The sequence below is a fragment of the Homo sapiens genome, chromosome 11 (genome assembly GCF_000001405.40).
Source record: "Homo sapiens chromosome 11, GRCh38.p14 Primary Assembly".
Taxonomy (NCBI): Eukaryota; Metazoa; Chordata; class Mammalia; order Primates; family Hominidae; genus Homo; species Homo sapiens.
This window is the reverse complement of record NC_000011.10, coordinates 12316121-12334986: the sequence shown is the minus strand read 5'-3', so window position 1 is coordinate 12334986 and position 18866 is coordinate 12316121. Positions and strand designations below refer to the sequence as shown.

General features: G+C 40.9%; 1 protein-coding gene across 1 annotated transcript in view, besides 1 other annotated feature; it reads right to left on the bottom strand.

The window, feature by feature from the left end:
* Nucleotides 1–18866, bottom strand: part of MICAL2 (microtubule associated monooxygenase, calponin and LIM domain containing 2) — a 251551-nt gene that overhangs the window by 27154 nt on the left and 205531 nt on the right. The window contains exons 32-34 of the mRNA NM_001393937.1: nt 15176–15291; nt 10917–11009; nt 7721–7814 (exon numbers count right to left, since the gene is read on the bottom strand). Coding sequence (NP_001380866.1) covers nt 7721–7814; nt 10917–11009; nt 15176–15291 — 303 coding nt within the window. The remainder of the gene's footprint in view (nt 1–7720; nt 7815–10916; nt 11010–15175; nt 15292–18866) is intronic.
* Nucleotides 4016–4517: an enhancer, noted in NCBI's record as "H3K4me1 hESC enhancer chr11:12352017-12352518 (GRCh37/hg19 assembly coordinates)". NCBI's record gives its function as "activates a minimal SCP1, AML or CMV promoter by ChIP-STARR-seq in primed H9 embryonic stem cells {active_cell/tissue: H9 hESC(primed)}" and the evidence as "EXISTENCE:reporter gene assay evidence [ECO:0000049][PMID:30033119]".

The following is an 18866-nucleotide window of genomic DNA, read 5'->3' as shown; positions in this document are numbered from 1 at the left end:
ACCCAGCAATCCCATTACTGGGTATATACCCAAAGGATTATAAGTCATGCTGCTATAAAGACACATGTGCACGTATGTTTACTGCAGCACTATTCACAATAGCCAAGACTTGGAACCAACCCAAATGTCCATCAATGATAGACTGGATTAAGAAAATGTACATATACACCATGGAATACTATGCAGCCATAAAAAATGATGAGTTCATGTCCTTTGTAGGGACATGGATAAAGCTGGAAACCATCATTCTCAGCAAACTATCACAAGGACAAAAAAACCAAACACCACATGTTCTCACTCACAGGTGGGAATTGAACAATGAGAACACATGGACACAGGAAGGGGAACATCACACACCGGGGACTGTTGTGGGGGGGTGGGGGGAGGGGGGAGGGATAGCATTAGGAGATATACCTAATGCTAATTGACGAGTTAATGGGTGCAGCACACCAACATGGCACATGTATACATATGTAACTAACCTGCACGTTGCGCACATGTACCCTAAAACTTAAAGTATAATAATAATAAAATTAAAAAAAAAGAAAAGAAAATATTCTGGATAAAAAAAGGATGGTTGTGTCTGTACTGAACATACACAGACTCTTTTTCTTGTCATTATTCCCTAAACAACATGGTATAACAACTATTTACACAACATTTACACTGTATTCAGTATTATGAGTAATCTAGAGATGATTTCAAGTATGCAAGAGGACGTGCATAGGTTATACGCAGTGACTACGCCATTTTATATCAGGGACTTGAGCATCCTCAAATTTTGGTATCTTCAGGGGTTCTGGAACAAATCCTCTGTGGATAACAGAGTGTGACTGTATATTTTCCAAATGAGTGTCTTTTCATTTCCTTTATAGTATCTATTGACTAACAACTTGAGGTCAAAAAAAGATTCTTCTTAACATCTCAAGTTTCAATTTTCACATTAAAGTCCTTAATCTTTATGGAATTGATTTGTTTGTATGGTACGAAACAAGACTCAATTTCATTTTTTCCTCTATGGAAACCAATTGTCTCAGAATCACTTATTTCCTGTGATCTCTAATGCTACTGATGGCTTATATCAACTTTTCATATATATAAGAATATGTTTGGATCCTTTGATGACTTTCAGAAAAGTATTAAAATTGGCTCCATAAGATAGTACATGTTTTTTGCTAGATTTACTCCTAGGTACCTTATATTTTTGATGTTAATGTAAGTGATATCTTTATTACTTCATTTTCTAGGTGTTTCATGCTGAGATATTGAAATGCAATTAATTTTTCTAGTTTGAGCTTATATCCAGTCACTGTTATTTAGGTCCATATTATGTTTAATAGTTTACTTGTACATTTTGGGGTTTTTGTCATATAGACAATCCTAGCATCTGGAAACAACAAAATTTTTTTTCTTTCTTTCCAAACCTCTTGCCTTTCTCTGCCTTGTCTTACCACACTGGTTGGGATCTCCTGCACAAAGTTAAATAGAAGACTTAAGAGTAGGCAACATTATTTTATTACTGATTTTTAAAGAAATGCTTCTATTTAACAGTGATGTTTGCCGCATGGTTTTGGAAAATATGTTTCAATTAAGAAAGTTCTATTCTGTTCTATTGCTTTTTTTTTTTGCTAAAAGTTTTTAGCAAATGGATGTTAAATTGTGTCAAATGATTTTCCTTCTTCTATTGAAAAGACCATAAGATTTTCCTCTTTAATTTTTCAATATGGTAGTTGTAAAATCACCCTTAGATTGCCAGATTTAAAAACTAACGGGATTAAGTGTTTGTTATATTCTTTTATCTTTTTGAATCTTTGCTGTATCTGTGGTTGCATCTGCCCTTTCCATTTCTTCTTTATTTCTGTCTTCTGTCTTATTTTTAAAAAACAACTTGCAAGGGTCAGCTTTAGTCTCTCATTAATACGTTTGTTCAATATTTGGCTTGCAATGAGGCCATGGACTTCCTACAGAGTGGCCAGTGAAGCTGGAAACAGAGGTGAATATACAGCAAGCGGACTGTCGGTATTTGTTGAGTGAGCCAGTCTTCCATAGACTAGGAGTGTCCCTGTACATCTTTGCTGAGTGAGCCAAACTGCAAGGCCCTACCATCCTCTGAACCTTAGCCATTCCTCTAACTAGTCAGGTAGAGAATTCCAAGAAGGGGGTCAGGATACTACTGTGTGACTACTGCACAACTACTTGCTTCCTGGGAAAGGGGAATTGGCTCATTTACTGCTTGCTATAAAAGCTGCTGAGTCCTTTTCCTGGGGCTCCCTAGCTATGGGACAACTCACTGCACGCACAGGTGCCATCTGGGCTCATCATGTCACACCATGGGACTTGGGAACAGGGCAACTTGGGCTACCGAGCTGATGTTCCTGCTGTTTGCTATGCTGTGAATAATAAACTCTCTTGCTCTGATGTACTGACTTTTGTTGTTTACTTTTTGCACCTACATAGTTGTGGCAAACAACCCAAGTTCCTTGCATGCTTAATCATCCACTTTGAAGTCTTATTACTCCTGACCATTATCTATAAGGTTGGTGTCCTTTTCTGACAATATCCCATTATATTATGTGACAAAATAATATTATCTGTGTTTCTGTGTTCATGGCTACCTGTATTTAGAGAGACTCCTTTAGAATCACAGAAGATCTCAACCCTTCCCCTGCTCTGCTGACTTATGAATGCACAGCAACCAGCCATGTCTAATGATGGATGAAAGGGTACAACCTTTAACTCACTGCCTTCAAGTACCTTTTGAGAACAAATAGTTATGGAAGGAAACCTAAAGAATATCTATTTCCTAAAACCCATTCCCAAATTGTGGCAGAGTGTCAGAGAGGCATGCCTCAAAACCCATAGTCTGCTATCTTTGTTGAACAGCTTTTATTGCATTACTGTTTTTTGGGGGCGGTGGTGGCGGGGGTGTGGGAGTGATAACAATGAGTCCTCATTGAGATCCTTGTTTGGATCAGGCATGCAAAATTCATGTATTACAAATATTTAGAGAAACCGGCTTAAATCTCTTGTAGGGAGTATAGTTACAAATGAATGTGAATGGATGAACAAACAAATAAATACAATTTGAGAAGTCATTGACCATCCAGCTGTGTTTTATAATAATAGGGACATAAAAGAAAAGAGAAGGAATATTTTTGGATACCTATTTTATTTCAGGCCCTTTTGTGGGTGCTTTACTAACATTATTTCACTTCATCTTTTCTTCATACCACCTCTGTGAGGTTGGTATTATTCATTCAATTTTACAGATGAGAAAATTTCGCAGAAAAGTAAATAATTGTATAAGGACTACATTGGGATTCAAACTCAGGAGTGTCTGATTCTAATGCCTGTGCTCTGTCCAGGACACCTCACTGTACATTATCCAGGAATTTTTATTCCTCGGGTCCTCAGCAGCAGTGAAAACCATGGAGTGTAAGCTCAGCTACCTCCCCGGTCCTGGAGAGGCTTTCGCTAGCATTTCTCACATAATGTGTGCTCCTGCTGCCACCTGCTGGCACTTTGTGCATCCTAATTTTTCTTGGTAAACCCCTCAATCTCCGGGAAGAAGAAACCATCTGGCTCCAAAAAAGGCAAGAAGCTCCATGCAGACAACTAGCTGGTAAATCTTCCCCAAAGCTGGTAAAGCTATAAGGGAATAATTATTCTCATCGACCTCCCCTGGGGAGAAATCCTTTCTCTTTCGAAGTTACTCAGTTTTCATCAGATTCCAGGTATTGAAAGAAAGCCCAGATTGTGTTATCCAGACCATTTAAATTTGAATGGTGGTCTCTTGCTAGACTGGGGTATTCCATGCCCCTAGTATGTAACACTGATCATCATATTGACAAGCAACAAGCCAGTAGGTAACAGTGCCTCAACCAATAAGAGTCTAAGTGGCTGCAGAGCTGGGCTTGGCCTCTTTCCAGAAGGTGGTAGGGCCCCCAGGAATCAGGTTACTGCATATCCTGGTCCTTCACCTGGGCAGCTAGGACCAAGAGGGGACTCTCTTACCTCTGTCAAAGACATCACACACACAGACACACACATACAGACACACACACACACACACACACACACACACACTCTCTCTCTCTCTCTCTGTCTCTCTCTCTCTCTCTCTCTACCCCTCTCTCTGTCTCTCTCTCTCTCTGTCTGTCTCTCCCTCTCTCTCTCTCTCTGTCTCTCTCTCTCTCTCTCCACGTCCTGCAAAACATAATGATTTGTCATCTGGGGTGGATTATTAGATTTTTGTTTTCCTTTGTTTCCCTTTCCTTGACAAAATGGGGAAAAACCCTTCCCGGGGGCGGGAGAGCTTATTTCTGACTGCTGTAAAAAAAGAAAGCAGGAATTGTTGTCACGACAATGAGGAGCTCATCAAAGCCTCATTTTGCTCATCAGCCATCATTGCCCTCCATCCCGCACCCCCGCATGTTCCTCTAATTCAATGCCCGCCTAATGAATAACTCCCAGAACAAAAGCCCCTTTCAGGCTGCCTACATAATTATCAGAGGAGCCTTGCATAACTGTCGCAGACTACTCATGTTTTCAGGTCTGTCTCTAAATTTGGTTATTCACAACCTTTATAGCTCAATATTATTGCCTAACTGTGATCATTTTCTAATTATCCTAATAATACCTATTAAATAATTCCCATTAAATCACTTGAACCGGAGCAGCACAGGCCAGCTCAAATACAACTTAACCTAATAAGCGTTGGTCATTCATTAAGCAACAGGGCAATCTCTTAAAGGGACTGAATAGAATATTAAACCACCAAGGAATATTATTATTGCACAAATGTTATTACAAGTTAGAGTATATTAATTTTGGTGGCTGGTCTGCAAAACTTCCATTTGGTTGCTTTTGAGGCCACTCTCCCGTCTTGACTCTTTTAGTCTCCAGCCCCTTGTTGATCTGCATCTGTCACCCACACAAGGACAATCATGGGAAAAAGGCCCATAAACTTAACAGGGGAATTAAATTACCAAGGATATAAAGGGAATGAATGGAATCCATCTTCTGTCTGGCTTGGCACACCTCCGAAACATCACAAGCTGGCCAGATTTCTTTTGCTATAACTCAAACTAGCTCTCTCTTTTCTTTTTTTTTTTTTTTTTTTTTCATATTTGGGGATGAGGAAGATTTTCAGAAGATGCTTTACAATTTTGGTTTCTATCATTTAAATTTCAAGCAGTAAAAATTAGACAAATTCTTTAAAAGAAGATGTGTGTGGATACTTAGTAATATTTTGTAAAATGATATGAGTAGTGTTTACTAAATGCCTACAACCTAGGCAATACTCCGGTAGAGACTTTGCCTATCAACACTTCTAATTCTCAAAATGACCTGATAATATGGGGATTATTATCTTCACTTTTCAGATAAAAAATCTAGGACCAGAGAGGTTAAGTGATTTTCCCAGGACTATTCAGCCTAAGCGGAGTGGAATAGAATTTGAACACAGGGCTTATTGGCTTATTGGCGCCCACAGCTCCCCACTTCCCACCATGCCACCTCTTGGCCTGTGTTGCTGGCGGCAAACTGAAGCACGCCCTGGCTTTTCTGGTTTTTCCTCTTCTTTTCTAATGCTCTCACTGAGATCAGCAGATTGTCAAAGACAAGGACCAGAGCCTTCTGGACTGGGAATATGACCAAGCACCAAACAAGGGCAGTTCATTCTACCAAAAGTCCCACAGCAGCTGTAGAGATGGACAGTGACTCTCAGTCCAGGCAGCAAGAAACTCTTTATATTTGTAATAAGCCTATTTCTAATGAGCAAATTTGGGTCATCTTTGCAAGGAAATCCAGTGCATTGTAGTAAAAAAAACAAACAGGTATTGATTAATCATCTGCTCCATGCCAGGCACTGGCTATGGATATTACATAAATTATTTTAGCTAATCCTCACCACAAATACAAGTAACAAGTATTATTAGCACTCCCAATTTACCAACAAGAAAACTGAAGCACAGAAGAGGTAAAGTCTGACTCTAGCATTTCCCTGAAATCTAGTTGCTAAATTAACCATGCAGTTAATGAAACTGAAACCTCAGGACCCCTTACTTGGATGGGTCCTTGCAAGGTTCTGGAAGCAGCCCTCACAATTTTACATGCATGACTTTGCATGAACTCCAGGCCTCAGGAAATCTGGGTCTGCACCTGCTAGTTTCATCGCTCTCATGTAACTGGACTCTTAAAGAATTGAAATCCTAATGTTTCACTTGTTAAGTAACAAGTAACCTGTTGTTTATATTATTGCACATTATTTCAGTGCTCAGTTTTTCACCTTTTATATCTCAAATGCTGAAGGCTGAAGACATCACATTATAAAACTAAAGAGACAATACCCCCAACAAACTCTTAGGGCCCCCCAATTCATGAGCCACACCCCTACTGGAAGATTTCCGAAAATGTAGGTTTCTTTAAGCCACTCCTTACCTGAAAACCCTTCACTAGCTCATTTGTGAAGATATTTCATGTCTTTCCACATTTGACCTTTGCAGGTGCTGTTCCCTCTGCCAAAACAATCTCCTCTTTACTGGTTAACTCTTGTTCCTCCTCTGGTTCTCATCTTATAGATCACCCCTTCCCAGAAGCCTTGCTTGATGGCTTCCCTCGCCCCAAGATCAGTTAGGAACCTCTTGGTTCTGTTCACGTTGTACCCTAATGCTTGTTCCTATGACAGCATTTGTCATACTGTATTGTGGATTACCTCTTTACCTATGTGTGCCTCTCAATGGACTATAAACTTCTCAAGGTAGAAACTGCATCATACTCATTGTTACAGACCCAGTGTTTTAATGTCTAATGCATAGTAGGTCTTCACCAGATGAGTTCTGTTTGAATCCAAGAAGCTGAAGCTATTACTGGAAAAGTTACCACTTATTGCTTTACCTTGGGCCAGGCAATGTGTTAACTTAAGCATCAAATATAATTTCTTCTTTAATCCTTATATCAGTTCTATAAAGGAGAAAACCACCATTATCCCCATTTTAGATGAGAAAATGAAAAAGTATAAAGGTTTATAATGTGACTGGCCCAAGGTCGTACAGGTAGTAAAGGAAAAACCAGGACATTGACTCTCACTCTGAGTTTTGAATTACTACCAACACTGCTCCAATACCCATATATTTCTCCTGAATTTATCTTAATCCTTGAATTGCAAAGAACATTCATGTTAGCCAGTGGAGAGGTGGCTTATATCAGTTCTATAAAGGAGAAAACCACATTATCCCCATTTTAGATGAGGAAATGAAAAAGTATAAAGGTTTATAATGTGACTGGCCCAAGGTCGTACAGGTAGTAAAGGAAAAACCAGGACATTGACTCTCACTCTGAGTTTTGAATTACTACCAACACTGCTCCAATACCCATATATTTCTCCTGAATTTATCTTAATCTTTGAATTGCAAAGAACATTCGTGTTAGCCAGTGGAGAGGTGGGGCTGAACAGACGCCCAGTTACAAGGCCCGCGGGCTGACCAATGCTCCTGGGAATTTCAAAGTGGGCCACTAGTTTGATTTTTACATTTGATCTTGGCCAAAAGGCCGAGAAACAATAGTTTGATGTTTAAAGTGTGCGGCACTTGTGGATTTACCACCATATGTCCATGCTGACAGATCTCCAGCAGGTGACAAGGTCTGTTTTCCTCAGATGGTTACGCTAGCACTATTCTCAGACCATGCCCACTGCTCCGGATCTGCTGGGATGCCGTACCTGCTTCTCCTCGCAACGCCTTCTCCAGCCTCACACCCTGGATCTCAGAAGCCCTCTGCCGCTCCTCCACCTCCTCCAGCTGCCTCTGGATGGCCTGCAACACCAGGATCAGATGTCACACAAGGACTTTCCACATAGAGTCCCAAGAGGGGCTGATTCTGCCACTTACTTTCCAGGAGAAAGAGGCCCTTTCACTTGTGATGGTCCTGCCTTGAATAACTAGGCAAGGACCTCTGAATTCCCAGACAACTATACCCTGATGTTTCCCTTCCTTAGCATGCAACATAAAGCAAGGAATTTGTATGTATGTTCAACTGGCCCTTAAGTAGACATTAAAACAGTCCCCTTAGACAAGGCCAATCACAGATGTCCTCCAAGACAGAGGCTGTTGGGTGAGGTGAGCAGTCATCATGGCTCCTAACTATGGCCGTGGCATAATGATTGGAGCTGCAGCCACTGTTCAGAGTAGGGTAGGGGGTCCAGGGGCAAACAAAGTACTTGCATAATCTATTTTCTCCAAGAAGAACCAGCCTATACCTCCCAAGGAGTCAGTCTGGAGCAAGAGAACTGGGCCAGATCCCGGGGTTTCGTGCTCCTGTTTTAGATTGTCCTGCTCCTGTCCTTAGCTACAAATTGTACCTGTTCTTTCATTGCACCATGGGCAGATGCCCAGCGTTCTTTCATTGTGGAAGTGTACTGTGCCTTTGTTACTAGCAGGTTATTAAGGTGAGACACAAGATGTTTAACTTGTTAGGGGATGACATCATACTCTCCTTAGGTTCATTATAGACACCTGTTAAGGTCTGGGGTCATGACTTTATTTGCATTTACATATTTATTTTCCTTACTAACTATTAATCTCTTGTGTATATTAGAAAGAAGTTAGGGAAAAGCCATTCCTATATAAATTTTGTTCATCCCCATCCATTTTCTCTGCTTTCAAATACCATGCTGTCAAAAGGCACATCCCTTGGCAGAACAGACTTTGCACCTGGCAGAACAGGCATATTCAAGGAACAGTCAGTTGTTTGGGCAGACAGAATGCCTGTGTTCCTCCTCTGTTTTACTTTACTCTGTCTCACTCCCCTTCTTCCTTAACCCCACGTCTTTCTAAATCTCCCCTGGAATCACAAGTACAGCAGCCGAGGCCCCTCCAATCCTGGAAAGGGACCCAAGCAGGGAGGGGTGGGGCCTGCACAGCCACCGGGCTCTTCTTGTCCCAGCTATGAGTGCTTAAGTCCCAACATAAAATCTGAAATAGATGGAAAGTCTACTTAAAACTATTTGTAATTTCATGCCCTCTTCCTGTCTCTCCCTTAAAGACAATTATATCTTTATAAATCCATCTCTTGCTGGCATGCTGTAGAATTGCTAAAGAAAGGAAGCACCTAAATGGCTTTATTGCTGATCACTGTGCAGTAACAGCTATCTGGTTCTTAGAGACTAAATTGTGTCCCACCCCAAATGCATATGTTGAAGCCCTAACCCCCAGTGTGACTATATTTGGAGATAGGGCCTTTAAGGAGGTAATCCAGGTGAAATGAAGTCATAGGGCTGGGGCCCTAATCCAATGCAGCTGATGTCCTTATAAGAGGAAAAGACACCAGAGATATTTTTCTCTGCTCACGTGAACTCACAGAAAGACCATGTGAGGACACATGAAGAAGGCAGCTGTCTATAAGCCCGGAAGAGAGGCCTCACCAGGTGCCAAACCTGCCAGCACCTTGATCTTGGACTTCTCAGCTCCAGAACATGAGGAAAATAAGTTTCTGTTGTTTAAGCCATCCGGTCCGTGGTACTTTGTTATGGCAGCCCAAGCAGACGAATACAGTGTCATTCTTTAGACACTAAGGATGAGGCTGGGCACGGTGGCTCACACCAGTAATCTCAGCATTTTGGGAAAATGTGGTGGGAGGATCACTTGAGCTCAGGAGTTCGAGATCAGCCTAGCCAACATGGTGAAAACCCGTCTCTACTAAAAATACAAAAATTAGCTGGGCGTGGTGGTGGGCTTCTGTAATCCCAGCTACTCAGGAGGCTGAGGCAAGAGAATCGCTTGAACCTAGGAGGTGGAGGTTGCAGTGAACTGAGATCACACCACTGCACTCCAGCCTGGGTGACACAGCAAGACTCTGTCTCAAAAATAAAAAACCAAAAAACAAAAAACAACAACTAAGGATGAAAGTCTCAGAGATTAAAAAGGGCTGCTATGGGTGCCAGCAGGACTCAAAAGGCCATTGTAATTCCTCTCTCATCACAACCATCTGGGATGAAAATACAAGGAAGAGGCATTGCCTAGTTTGCCAATCAATATCATAAGACTTGTCTTGTTCTTGGAAGGAAAAGTTGCAGTGTTTCAAGGAAACCTGTTTTAGAGGTTGCAAGTAGACAGAAGTGACTTTTCCCCATTCACTAGGTGAAAGAGGTAGCTCCCAAGTCAGCCACGGGGAAGGGTAAAGGAGGGTGGATTGAATGACGTCACTCTGTCAGAAATAGTGTATAGGATTATTAGCCAGATAAAGGGAATAAATGGAGAAAGGGATGTGAGGGTATACTGGATTAACATGAGTGGTCATTCTAAGTCCGTGTATCCTAAAACCCAACTCTTGTTCAAGACTAGGCTTGGGTTCCTCAGAGAGGTGGAGGATGCCTTGAATTTCTGCTTCATTTTGCCTGTCTGTGATGGAGTTGTGGCTGAGCAACTTGGGAGGAAGTGTTTGAAGTAAGCAATCAGGCCAGGAAATCTGTATTGGAATGCTAGATACTTATGATTTCAACTAATCTTGAAATAGAGACAGCCCTTAACAGCTGTCAGTTTAGTAAAGACACTGTCAGGGAGTTGGTGGAAGATTTGTGTCCTCACAGAAGACAAAACTAAGTTCACTGCTATGTGGCAGTCAGGGATGACTCCCAAGGCCATGCGTTGGCTCTTGTTCCAGCCTCACATGTCTGCAGATGGAGGGGTGGCTGAGAATAGGCCAGATTAACACGGGGGCTCTCCAGGACCCAGAGTCCTACTGAGACTAAGCCAGAGCCTCTTTAAAACGGCCACAAATCTGGTTCCTCAGAGAACAAGACTGACCTTTCTCCAGCCTGCTTTCCCTAATACAATGCAGACCCCCAAAACTCTTTCCCATCCAGAGTCCCAGGATCCTGGACCCAGGCCCACTCACTCATGTCCAGTTTATTTACTGACCTGAGCCTTATAGAGTCTTTTCAATTCTTCTTGCTTAACCAACTGCTTCATTGCTTTTTCTAGCTTCTTTCTTCTTCTAAGTGTCTTCTTCTCCTATGAAAACCAATGGAGAAAAAAATTATGTCAGAGAAAAATGGGGTTGAAATTTACAAAATATCGTTATAGGCTTCTACCCTCTCCAACTAATGATTCCCAGCCACTGCTTACCTTCTAAAATAACGACATCTGGTAGAACTCTCTGCAATGATAGAAATAACCTATAGCTGTGGCTGTCTGAAATACAGAAGCCACAAGCCCCATGTGGCTAGTGGACACTTGAAGTGAGTGTGGATTAGAAATTGAATTTTAAATTTTATTCAATTTTAATGAATTTAAATGTAAACTTAAGTAGCCACATGTCGCTAGTAGGTTCTGGATTGGGAAGCTGCTATGTGTGTATTGGGAGGGAGTGTATGTGTAGGTCTGTAGCTGGGAATTGCTATAATAGAATACTGTCTGGGTTCAGCTGAGAGAAGGAATGGTATAAGAATTATACTTTACAGGGGTGCTACGATATGGCCCAGGGATGAGGGGCTTGGGAGAGAGAGAGACGGGTAGGCAAGTAGACAGACATACACACACATACTCTCTCTCTCTCACTACATGAAAACCAGTTAACAACTTTAAATAGTGCTTAGGTTGAGTCTACAGTGGCTAATTAAACCTGGAAATGGAGAAATGTATCATTCCAATGAAAGTGTTTTTTGGCTTGAGGGAAGCATGAGATTGCTTCTCTTCCCAACCTCACTTTGTTTATACAATTATAGCATTACTGTCACTGGGTGTGTGTGTACCTGTGCTTGTTAAAAAAATTTTAAATTGATGCATATAAAGTAGAAGTCTAGATCTTGATAGTATCACTTCCAGGTTTTAGACACAAGAGCAAAAAGAAGTGATGGTGTGGTTAATTCCACATACTGGAAAGTTCAGGAGGCACTTAAAAATGGGAGAAATAGCAGAGACTAATGGTTGAGCACTGGGCCCACAAGACAGGCAAAGCTGGCATCCAATCCCAGCTGAGTTGTGTGAGCTTCAGAATGTCACACAACATTCTGAACTTCAGTGCTCTCTTTAGAGTAATGAGAAGAATTTACTGCCTACTTTGTAGGGATACACTAAGGACTCAATGAAATAATAAGGCTAAGCCTTTTGTAGAATACCTGAAAAAGACATGGGAAGAACACTCAGTAAATACTAATAGCATGATTTTTATAGCATTCGTATATTATTATATTTTAAATTAGCATGATTATCACATTTTACTAAAATCTATTATGATTTTTGTGTGTAGGAGTATATATTATACATACACACACAGACATTCTGTATCTACAAAATAAATGTTCAAATTGGGCTATTTTTACTCGTTTGCCTTCTCTGAGCATACACATCAACTTTCTGTATACTAGGATGAGGATTAGAGCATGCTAGACATTTCTTTTTAATGCTGGAATAAATAAATATGAAATTTAAAAATTGTCGTAGCTAGCTTGGTGCCTACAGGCTATTTTTCTGGAATTCTCCTTAGGACCTAAAATCCTAAAGATCTTCATCCTTGGAAGAAAATTTTACTCTCAGAACTCAACTTATTCCATATCATGTCATCTCTGTTTCCATGAGATGACTACCAGATTGACTGTCAATCACTCTGAATGGGGATTCCAGACCTTTTGGACGGGGGATTCTTCATGGGGCAGCTAGGATCTTTCTGGAAAGGCTCTAGGGAAGAGGTGGTGGGGATCAATGGTAACTGTCATCCAGAGATTGTCTAACTTAGCCTATATGGAGTCAGTTCATTTATTAACAACTGCCCCTTGAGCTTCCATTATACTAACCTACGTAATAAATCCTCTCATTTACCAAATGCTATATGCCAGATACTGTACTAATTATTTCACATGTATCATCCCATTTATTCCTCAAATTGCACTTACATTATAGGTAAGGAAATAAAAACTCAGAGAGGAAATTAACTTATACAAGATGATGCAATTATTAATAGGCAGAGCCAGGAGTTAGGCACAGGTAGCCTGAATCTAGTATCCACATTTCATTTGGTCTATACTGCCTTTCCTTGTGCCAAATACCGTTTAGACACAACAAGGACCTACTCTACTTTTCCATAGTGGGACTATGGAAAAGAAATGCCAATGTTCCCCCTAAATGAAGACCACTGAATGCAATTCCCAGGCGAAAGGTGGGGGGAATTGCCTCAACAGCATCATGTGGTCTTAGCGCTTCCCAGCAGCAAAGCTATCAAACTCTGACTCTTTCTCAAGAGTCAGCAAAACAGAACCTAGAGGAGGAAAGAAAGTCATGTATTGCCTTTTATTAAAAAGTTGCTGATACAGAAAAGAAGAATGCTTCATTAATAAACACACAGCCTTACATATACAAGGCACAGTTCTTATATCCTCACTGATGGTGATGATGCAGAGAGGGAAAGACGCTAAGGGCTAGGGAAGAAAAGATGCAGAAGCTTGGCAGAATCAAAGACAAGCTGCTGCGTCTCTTCCTGCCTTAGTCTCTTAGATCTGGGTGTGGTGTGGGAGGAGAGGCAGTGGGGAGCAAGGGTGAAGCAAAGGGAAGAGGCCAAGAGGACACATCCTGCCTCGTTTCCTGTGCAAAGGTTCATTTGAGCTGTCATGGTCTCCGTGCCACCTGGCTGGGGACACACCTGCATGGGATAGAAGAGACAAAGAAACCAGAGGACGAAAACCTCCTCTCTTTCCTTCAGTGTGAGCCCTCGAGAACTTGGAAAAAAGAAATCTTCTTGCCAGCTTCCCTTAGTGTAAGAGTGGGCCAGGTCAGAAGCCAGGTGAAGCGGGCATGCTTTACCACCTGGCAAGCTGACGTGATGGCGGGCTCTGTTCTGGGCCAGCAGGAGAACAAGGAGCTATTTGTGAGACTGGTCCTAAATACCACCGTCTTGCTATTTCAATATGTTTGGGCCATTCTATTCTTTTATTCTCCATGAGTGTCAAGATGGCTGATGCTGGGATCTCTGCCTAATTTGAATATAGAATTAACTCAGGGTCATTCAAGGGGATGAGAGGGGCAGTAAGAAAACCACAGAAATCAACACAAGACACACGGAATTCATTTGTGTTGAATACTGAATTAATCAGGGACACCATTGTTAGAAATGAGAAATTCATACATCTTTCTCCCTCAACTCTCTCTGTCTCTCTCTCTTCTCCCTCCCTCTTTCTTCCTCTCTCCTCCCCTCCCCACACCACACCTCCCAGACCCCTCCTGCCTTGCTCCAAGCTGGGCCATGGGGAGTTGGAACCCCAGAGTGACTTGAGATGATGTCAAATCTCCTAATGCCAGATATAGAAAAGTTGAGTGTAAGTAAATAAATTTGGTTCTCCTCCTCCCTCCCCAGATCCTCACTACTCCAAAAAATAAACACTACCAGAGCAGTGAACTGCTTCTCTTTCTACCCGGGAAGCATTTTAGGTCCAACCATTCAATAACCCCTGCCACCCCCACCCCACCAAGTACTCTACTGTCTCAGTGAAAACGCTCCAGCTTCAGTGGATAAAGAAAACAATGATGGGCTTTGGTTATGGGATGTCTGTCTCTGTGTATGTGACATACAGACACATTTATAAACATATAAAATGTTTGTGTTTTTTTAATCTATGGATATGAGAGTTGTTTAAAGAGTTCTCCAAAAACATTAATGTTCATTGAGAAAAGAAGTCTGCCATCTCCCCAGCTGGCACGGGGCTTGTCCCTTCCACAGCAGAGATCTTTGGAGTATCCATGTCTAGATGCAACTGCATGGTTCATTTCATATTTCTGATTAGAATAAACATAACATTTTCCATGCAATCTGCCTCTAGTGCTTCTTAAATGAAGCTGTGCTTCCCCCAGGGAAATATGCATCTGCTTGTTGTAATGTTTTCGATGGTTTGCTTGTTGGACCACATATTAAACCCACTTTAAGAGCTGCCATCACCAAATGGTTTCAAGTAAATATGTCTTTTTTTTTTCTCCCAAATTTGCGTCTGAGAAAGGCAAACTTCTACAAGTTTTTTTTAAAGAAGATAATTCTTTGGGTGTTCAAGGTAAAGAGAGCACTCTGTCAGATGCAATGAAACATGATCCTCCTAAGGAAACCACTGCAGCTGGAGCCCACATTGGTTCTGAAATCTGGATGGTAAGCAGCCCCCACCAGCCAAGGCCCTCTTTGGCTGGTCAAGTGTTGTTACCTTTAACTGCAAGGAAAGCTGGGGATCAAATTCTTCATCTGCAGAGGAGGAGGAGGTTGAAGAGGCAGAAGAGGAAGCCTCTGTTACCTGTGCTCTGAGGGGAAAGTTCTTGGAGTCTGAAATGGGAACAGAAAAACTCAATGAACTGCTAGCTTCATTTCCTGCTTTATGAACCAAAGCTGCTGCTTCCTCCTCCCCCACTTACTCTCATTCCCTTCCTCCCTGCCCTCCCCTCACTGCACCTGCCGTGAGCATGAGGCAACAGTACCTAAGGGCAACTGAAAATTTGGCCCTCCATGTTAATTACATTTCTGGGTCCCTGCCAAGAGCTTTGCAGCTCTCTTTTCACATTAAAAAAAAAAAAGAAAAAACCAAGGTATTATGCAGAAATCAATTAATTCCTTAAACACCATTTATATGGTGTGTTGCTCAGAATGCATTCAGAGATAAAATCTATTATTAAAATGCATGTCTGAAGTTAGTTGAGTTACCTAAATGCTTGTGTAAGGTTCGTTCTGCAGAGTAATTGAATGCAAAAAAGTTGGAGCCAGCTCTTAAACAAATCGCCCTTCTGCGGCTCACAGCATCTGGCACCCATTTTTACTACATGACATCTGCTCAGTGTAAAAGAGCTGGCGTCAGAATGTCTGGTCATAGAAAAAAAAAATCCCAAATGTAATCAGAAGCAAAAGGACTCTAAGCCTAAGGTTTTATCACATAGTCTCATGCAACATAAATATTTCATTAATTATGGCTAAACAAATGCCATTTTTATTTTCCCAACTTGCAGATGTTATCACATCATCGAAGTGGTGATTCAAATGCCAGGAAAGGCAGTTTAAGATAGGGATGGCTCAACAACACAGGGCCCAAGGGAGAGCCGAATTCGAGGAGATATGCCAGTCTCTGAACAAGAGGTAGATGGTTAGAGGCAGCAAAGTGCCCACGTTAACTAGAATCGCTCTGTGATCTGGCCGGGGACCATGTGTGATAAGGTCTTCCAGGTGCCACAGGAGGCTTTTATTCTTCTCAGCAAGAACATCTGCCCCTACACATCAACATGATGCAGAGTTAATGAGTAATAGCTGGATTAACCCACTCTGATTACTGAATATCAGGACCAGCTAGGACTCCACGATACGAAATTTACTAATCTTTATTTTGCTGTGGCTGCTTATGTCTGAATAGAAATAGGTGTTGGGTCGGGGGAAAGGAGAAGCACCTCCACGTCAACTAACATTCTCTCCAGCCTGCCTTTTCCTCCTTAAAATTTTCAACTATTCACCCTAGTGAGAGAGGCCAAGTTTGACAAAATAAGGGTGCTTTAGCCTCCAGGAGCACATTTACATATGTTGTTATTCAAAGCAAAATAATGCAAAACATCCCTGTTTTCTGGTTTAATTTGCCAGATGGAAAGCTCAGGTAAAGATAGAATCAGAGAGCAGTATAATAATGGGAGGAAGCATTGTTACTGATGAGCTGAGATTGTTTCCCACTTCTAGCCACTAAATGACCACTGAGTAATTCAGTCACTGAGTGTTCACTTCTTAGCATATGACCTTGAGGAAATAATTTTACCTCCTTGAGTTTCTCAGGATCATGATTTCTAACTTGCAGAATTGTTGTGGAAGGGTGGAGATAATCAGTGTAAAGTGCCTAGCGCAATGCCGGTATATTAGCGGTGCCTGAGTAAATGTTCTTATTGTTGGTAGCAGCAAGAGCAGCAGGAACCACGTGATCATCATCACTGATCTAAAATAACAATACTGCAACATTAGAAAACTGCCTATTTAGCCTTTGTTTATGGAAGAAACATAAACTTAAGTTGAAACTTCTTTTAACTTTCAAAAAATAAATATTTCCATTGAAATTTCTTTTGAAATTGAGGAGAAAATGCTTCCAAAGATAAGGCATTTCTTACACTTCCGGCAAGAAAGAAGTTATATAGTTGCCACTGAGTCTTTTTCTTGTTACTCTCTCCATTACAGAACCAACCATTCTAGTACTTTTTTTTTTTTTTGAGACGGAGTCTTGCTCTGTCACTCAGGCTGGAGTGTAGTGGCATGATCTGGGCTCACCGCAACCTCCGCCTCCCGGGTTCAAGTGATTCTCCTGCCTCAGCCTCCTGAGTAGCTGGGATTACAGGTGCCCACCAACATGCCCTGCTAATTTTTGTATTTTTAACAGAGATGGAGTTTCGCCATGTTGGCCAGGCTGGTTTCGACTCCTGATCTCAGGTAATCAACTTGCCTCGGCCTCCCAAAGTGCTGGGATTATAGGTGTGAGCCACTGCACCTGGCCTAGTACACTTTTCATTTGTAAAATCTTAAAGACTTTGCAGCATTGTTCCACTCTGGCTGTGTTAGAATGACTGATTCTGGAATTCATCTCCCAACACAAAGCACTGAAAATTAAGAAAAAATACATGAAGCATCTATTTTCAGGCACTGGACAGCAGGCAGTGCAGAACTGTGATAAAGGCAAGAACAGAAGCAAATGAGGAAAGTCCTACAATCACAGTAACTTTCTGCCTAGAGGGTCTTTCCAGATCACAGTACAGGTAAGAAGAAACTAAATAAAGCATAACAGATTCATTGAGTTGAAAAGATAGATGAAAGTTTGGGCAGGCTGAGACAGCTGGAATACGTGGGGCAGAGTATTGGAGAAGAGGGAGCTATGAAAAGAAGAAATTCACACCTAAGCATAGAAATCCCCTTGAGTCTATTGCTTATAGTAAACTATAGATACATAAAGAGAAACTCTATGAGGTTGGGCAAATAGCTGCTGGAAAGTTGTAGCCTAAACAATCTTGAAAGCTTCTTTAGGACTGAGAGATGTTCAAGTTCTACCTAGCCAGGGTAGAACAAAAATTTAAGGCATTGATAGAGACCACAGAAAAATCACGGGGAATGAATTAGCCCTAGAGTAAAGGTTATTATAGATTCACCTGAAAAAAGCTTAAAAGCAAGCCTTCAAAGGAAAACAAGTGATCTGCAAGTTACCCTACTTCTGCCTGCCAAATATTCTTTACTGCCTATTTAATTCCTTAATTAAAGAAACAAAACATAGACATGCTACAATGTAACATTCAGAGTCTGGCAGCTGGTGAACAATTACTAGATATGTAAAAAAGCAGGACAAGTCTGATAATCAAGAGAAAAATTTGTCAATAAAAGCAGACCCAGAAATGACAGATATGAGGGAATTAGCAGATGAGAATTTTGAAATAGCTATTATAAATGTGCTCAAGAACTCCACCAAAAAAAACTATTATAATAAATCAGTAAAGTTGCAGTACACAAAATTAACATAGGAAAATTAGGAGCATTTCTATACATGAACAACAAACTATCTGAAAAAGAATGAAAAAAATCTCATTTATAATAACTTCAAAAAAAAAAACCACCTAGGAATAAATTTAACCAAGGAGGTGAAAGACCTATACACTGAAAATCATAAAACATTAATAAAAGAAATTGAAGACACAAAGAAATCAAAAGATATCTCATGTTAATGTATTGAAACAATTACTGTCAACATTTTCACTAAATATATACAGTCAAAGCATTGCAATTAAAAAGAAGATATTGTCAGACTGGATTTTAAAAAAGCAAGAACCTGCTATATATTGTCTATAATAAATTCATTTTAAATATAAAGAGAAATTAAAAGTAAAAATTTAGAAAAACTA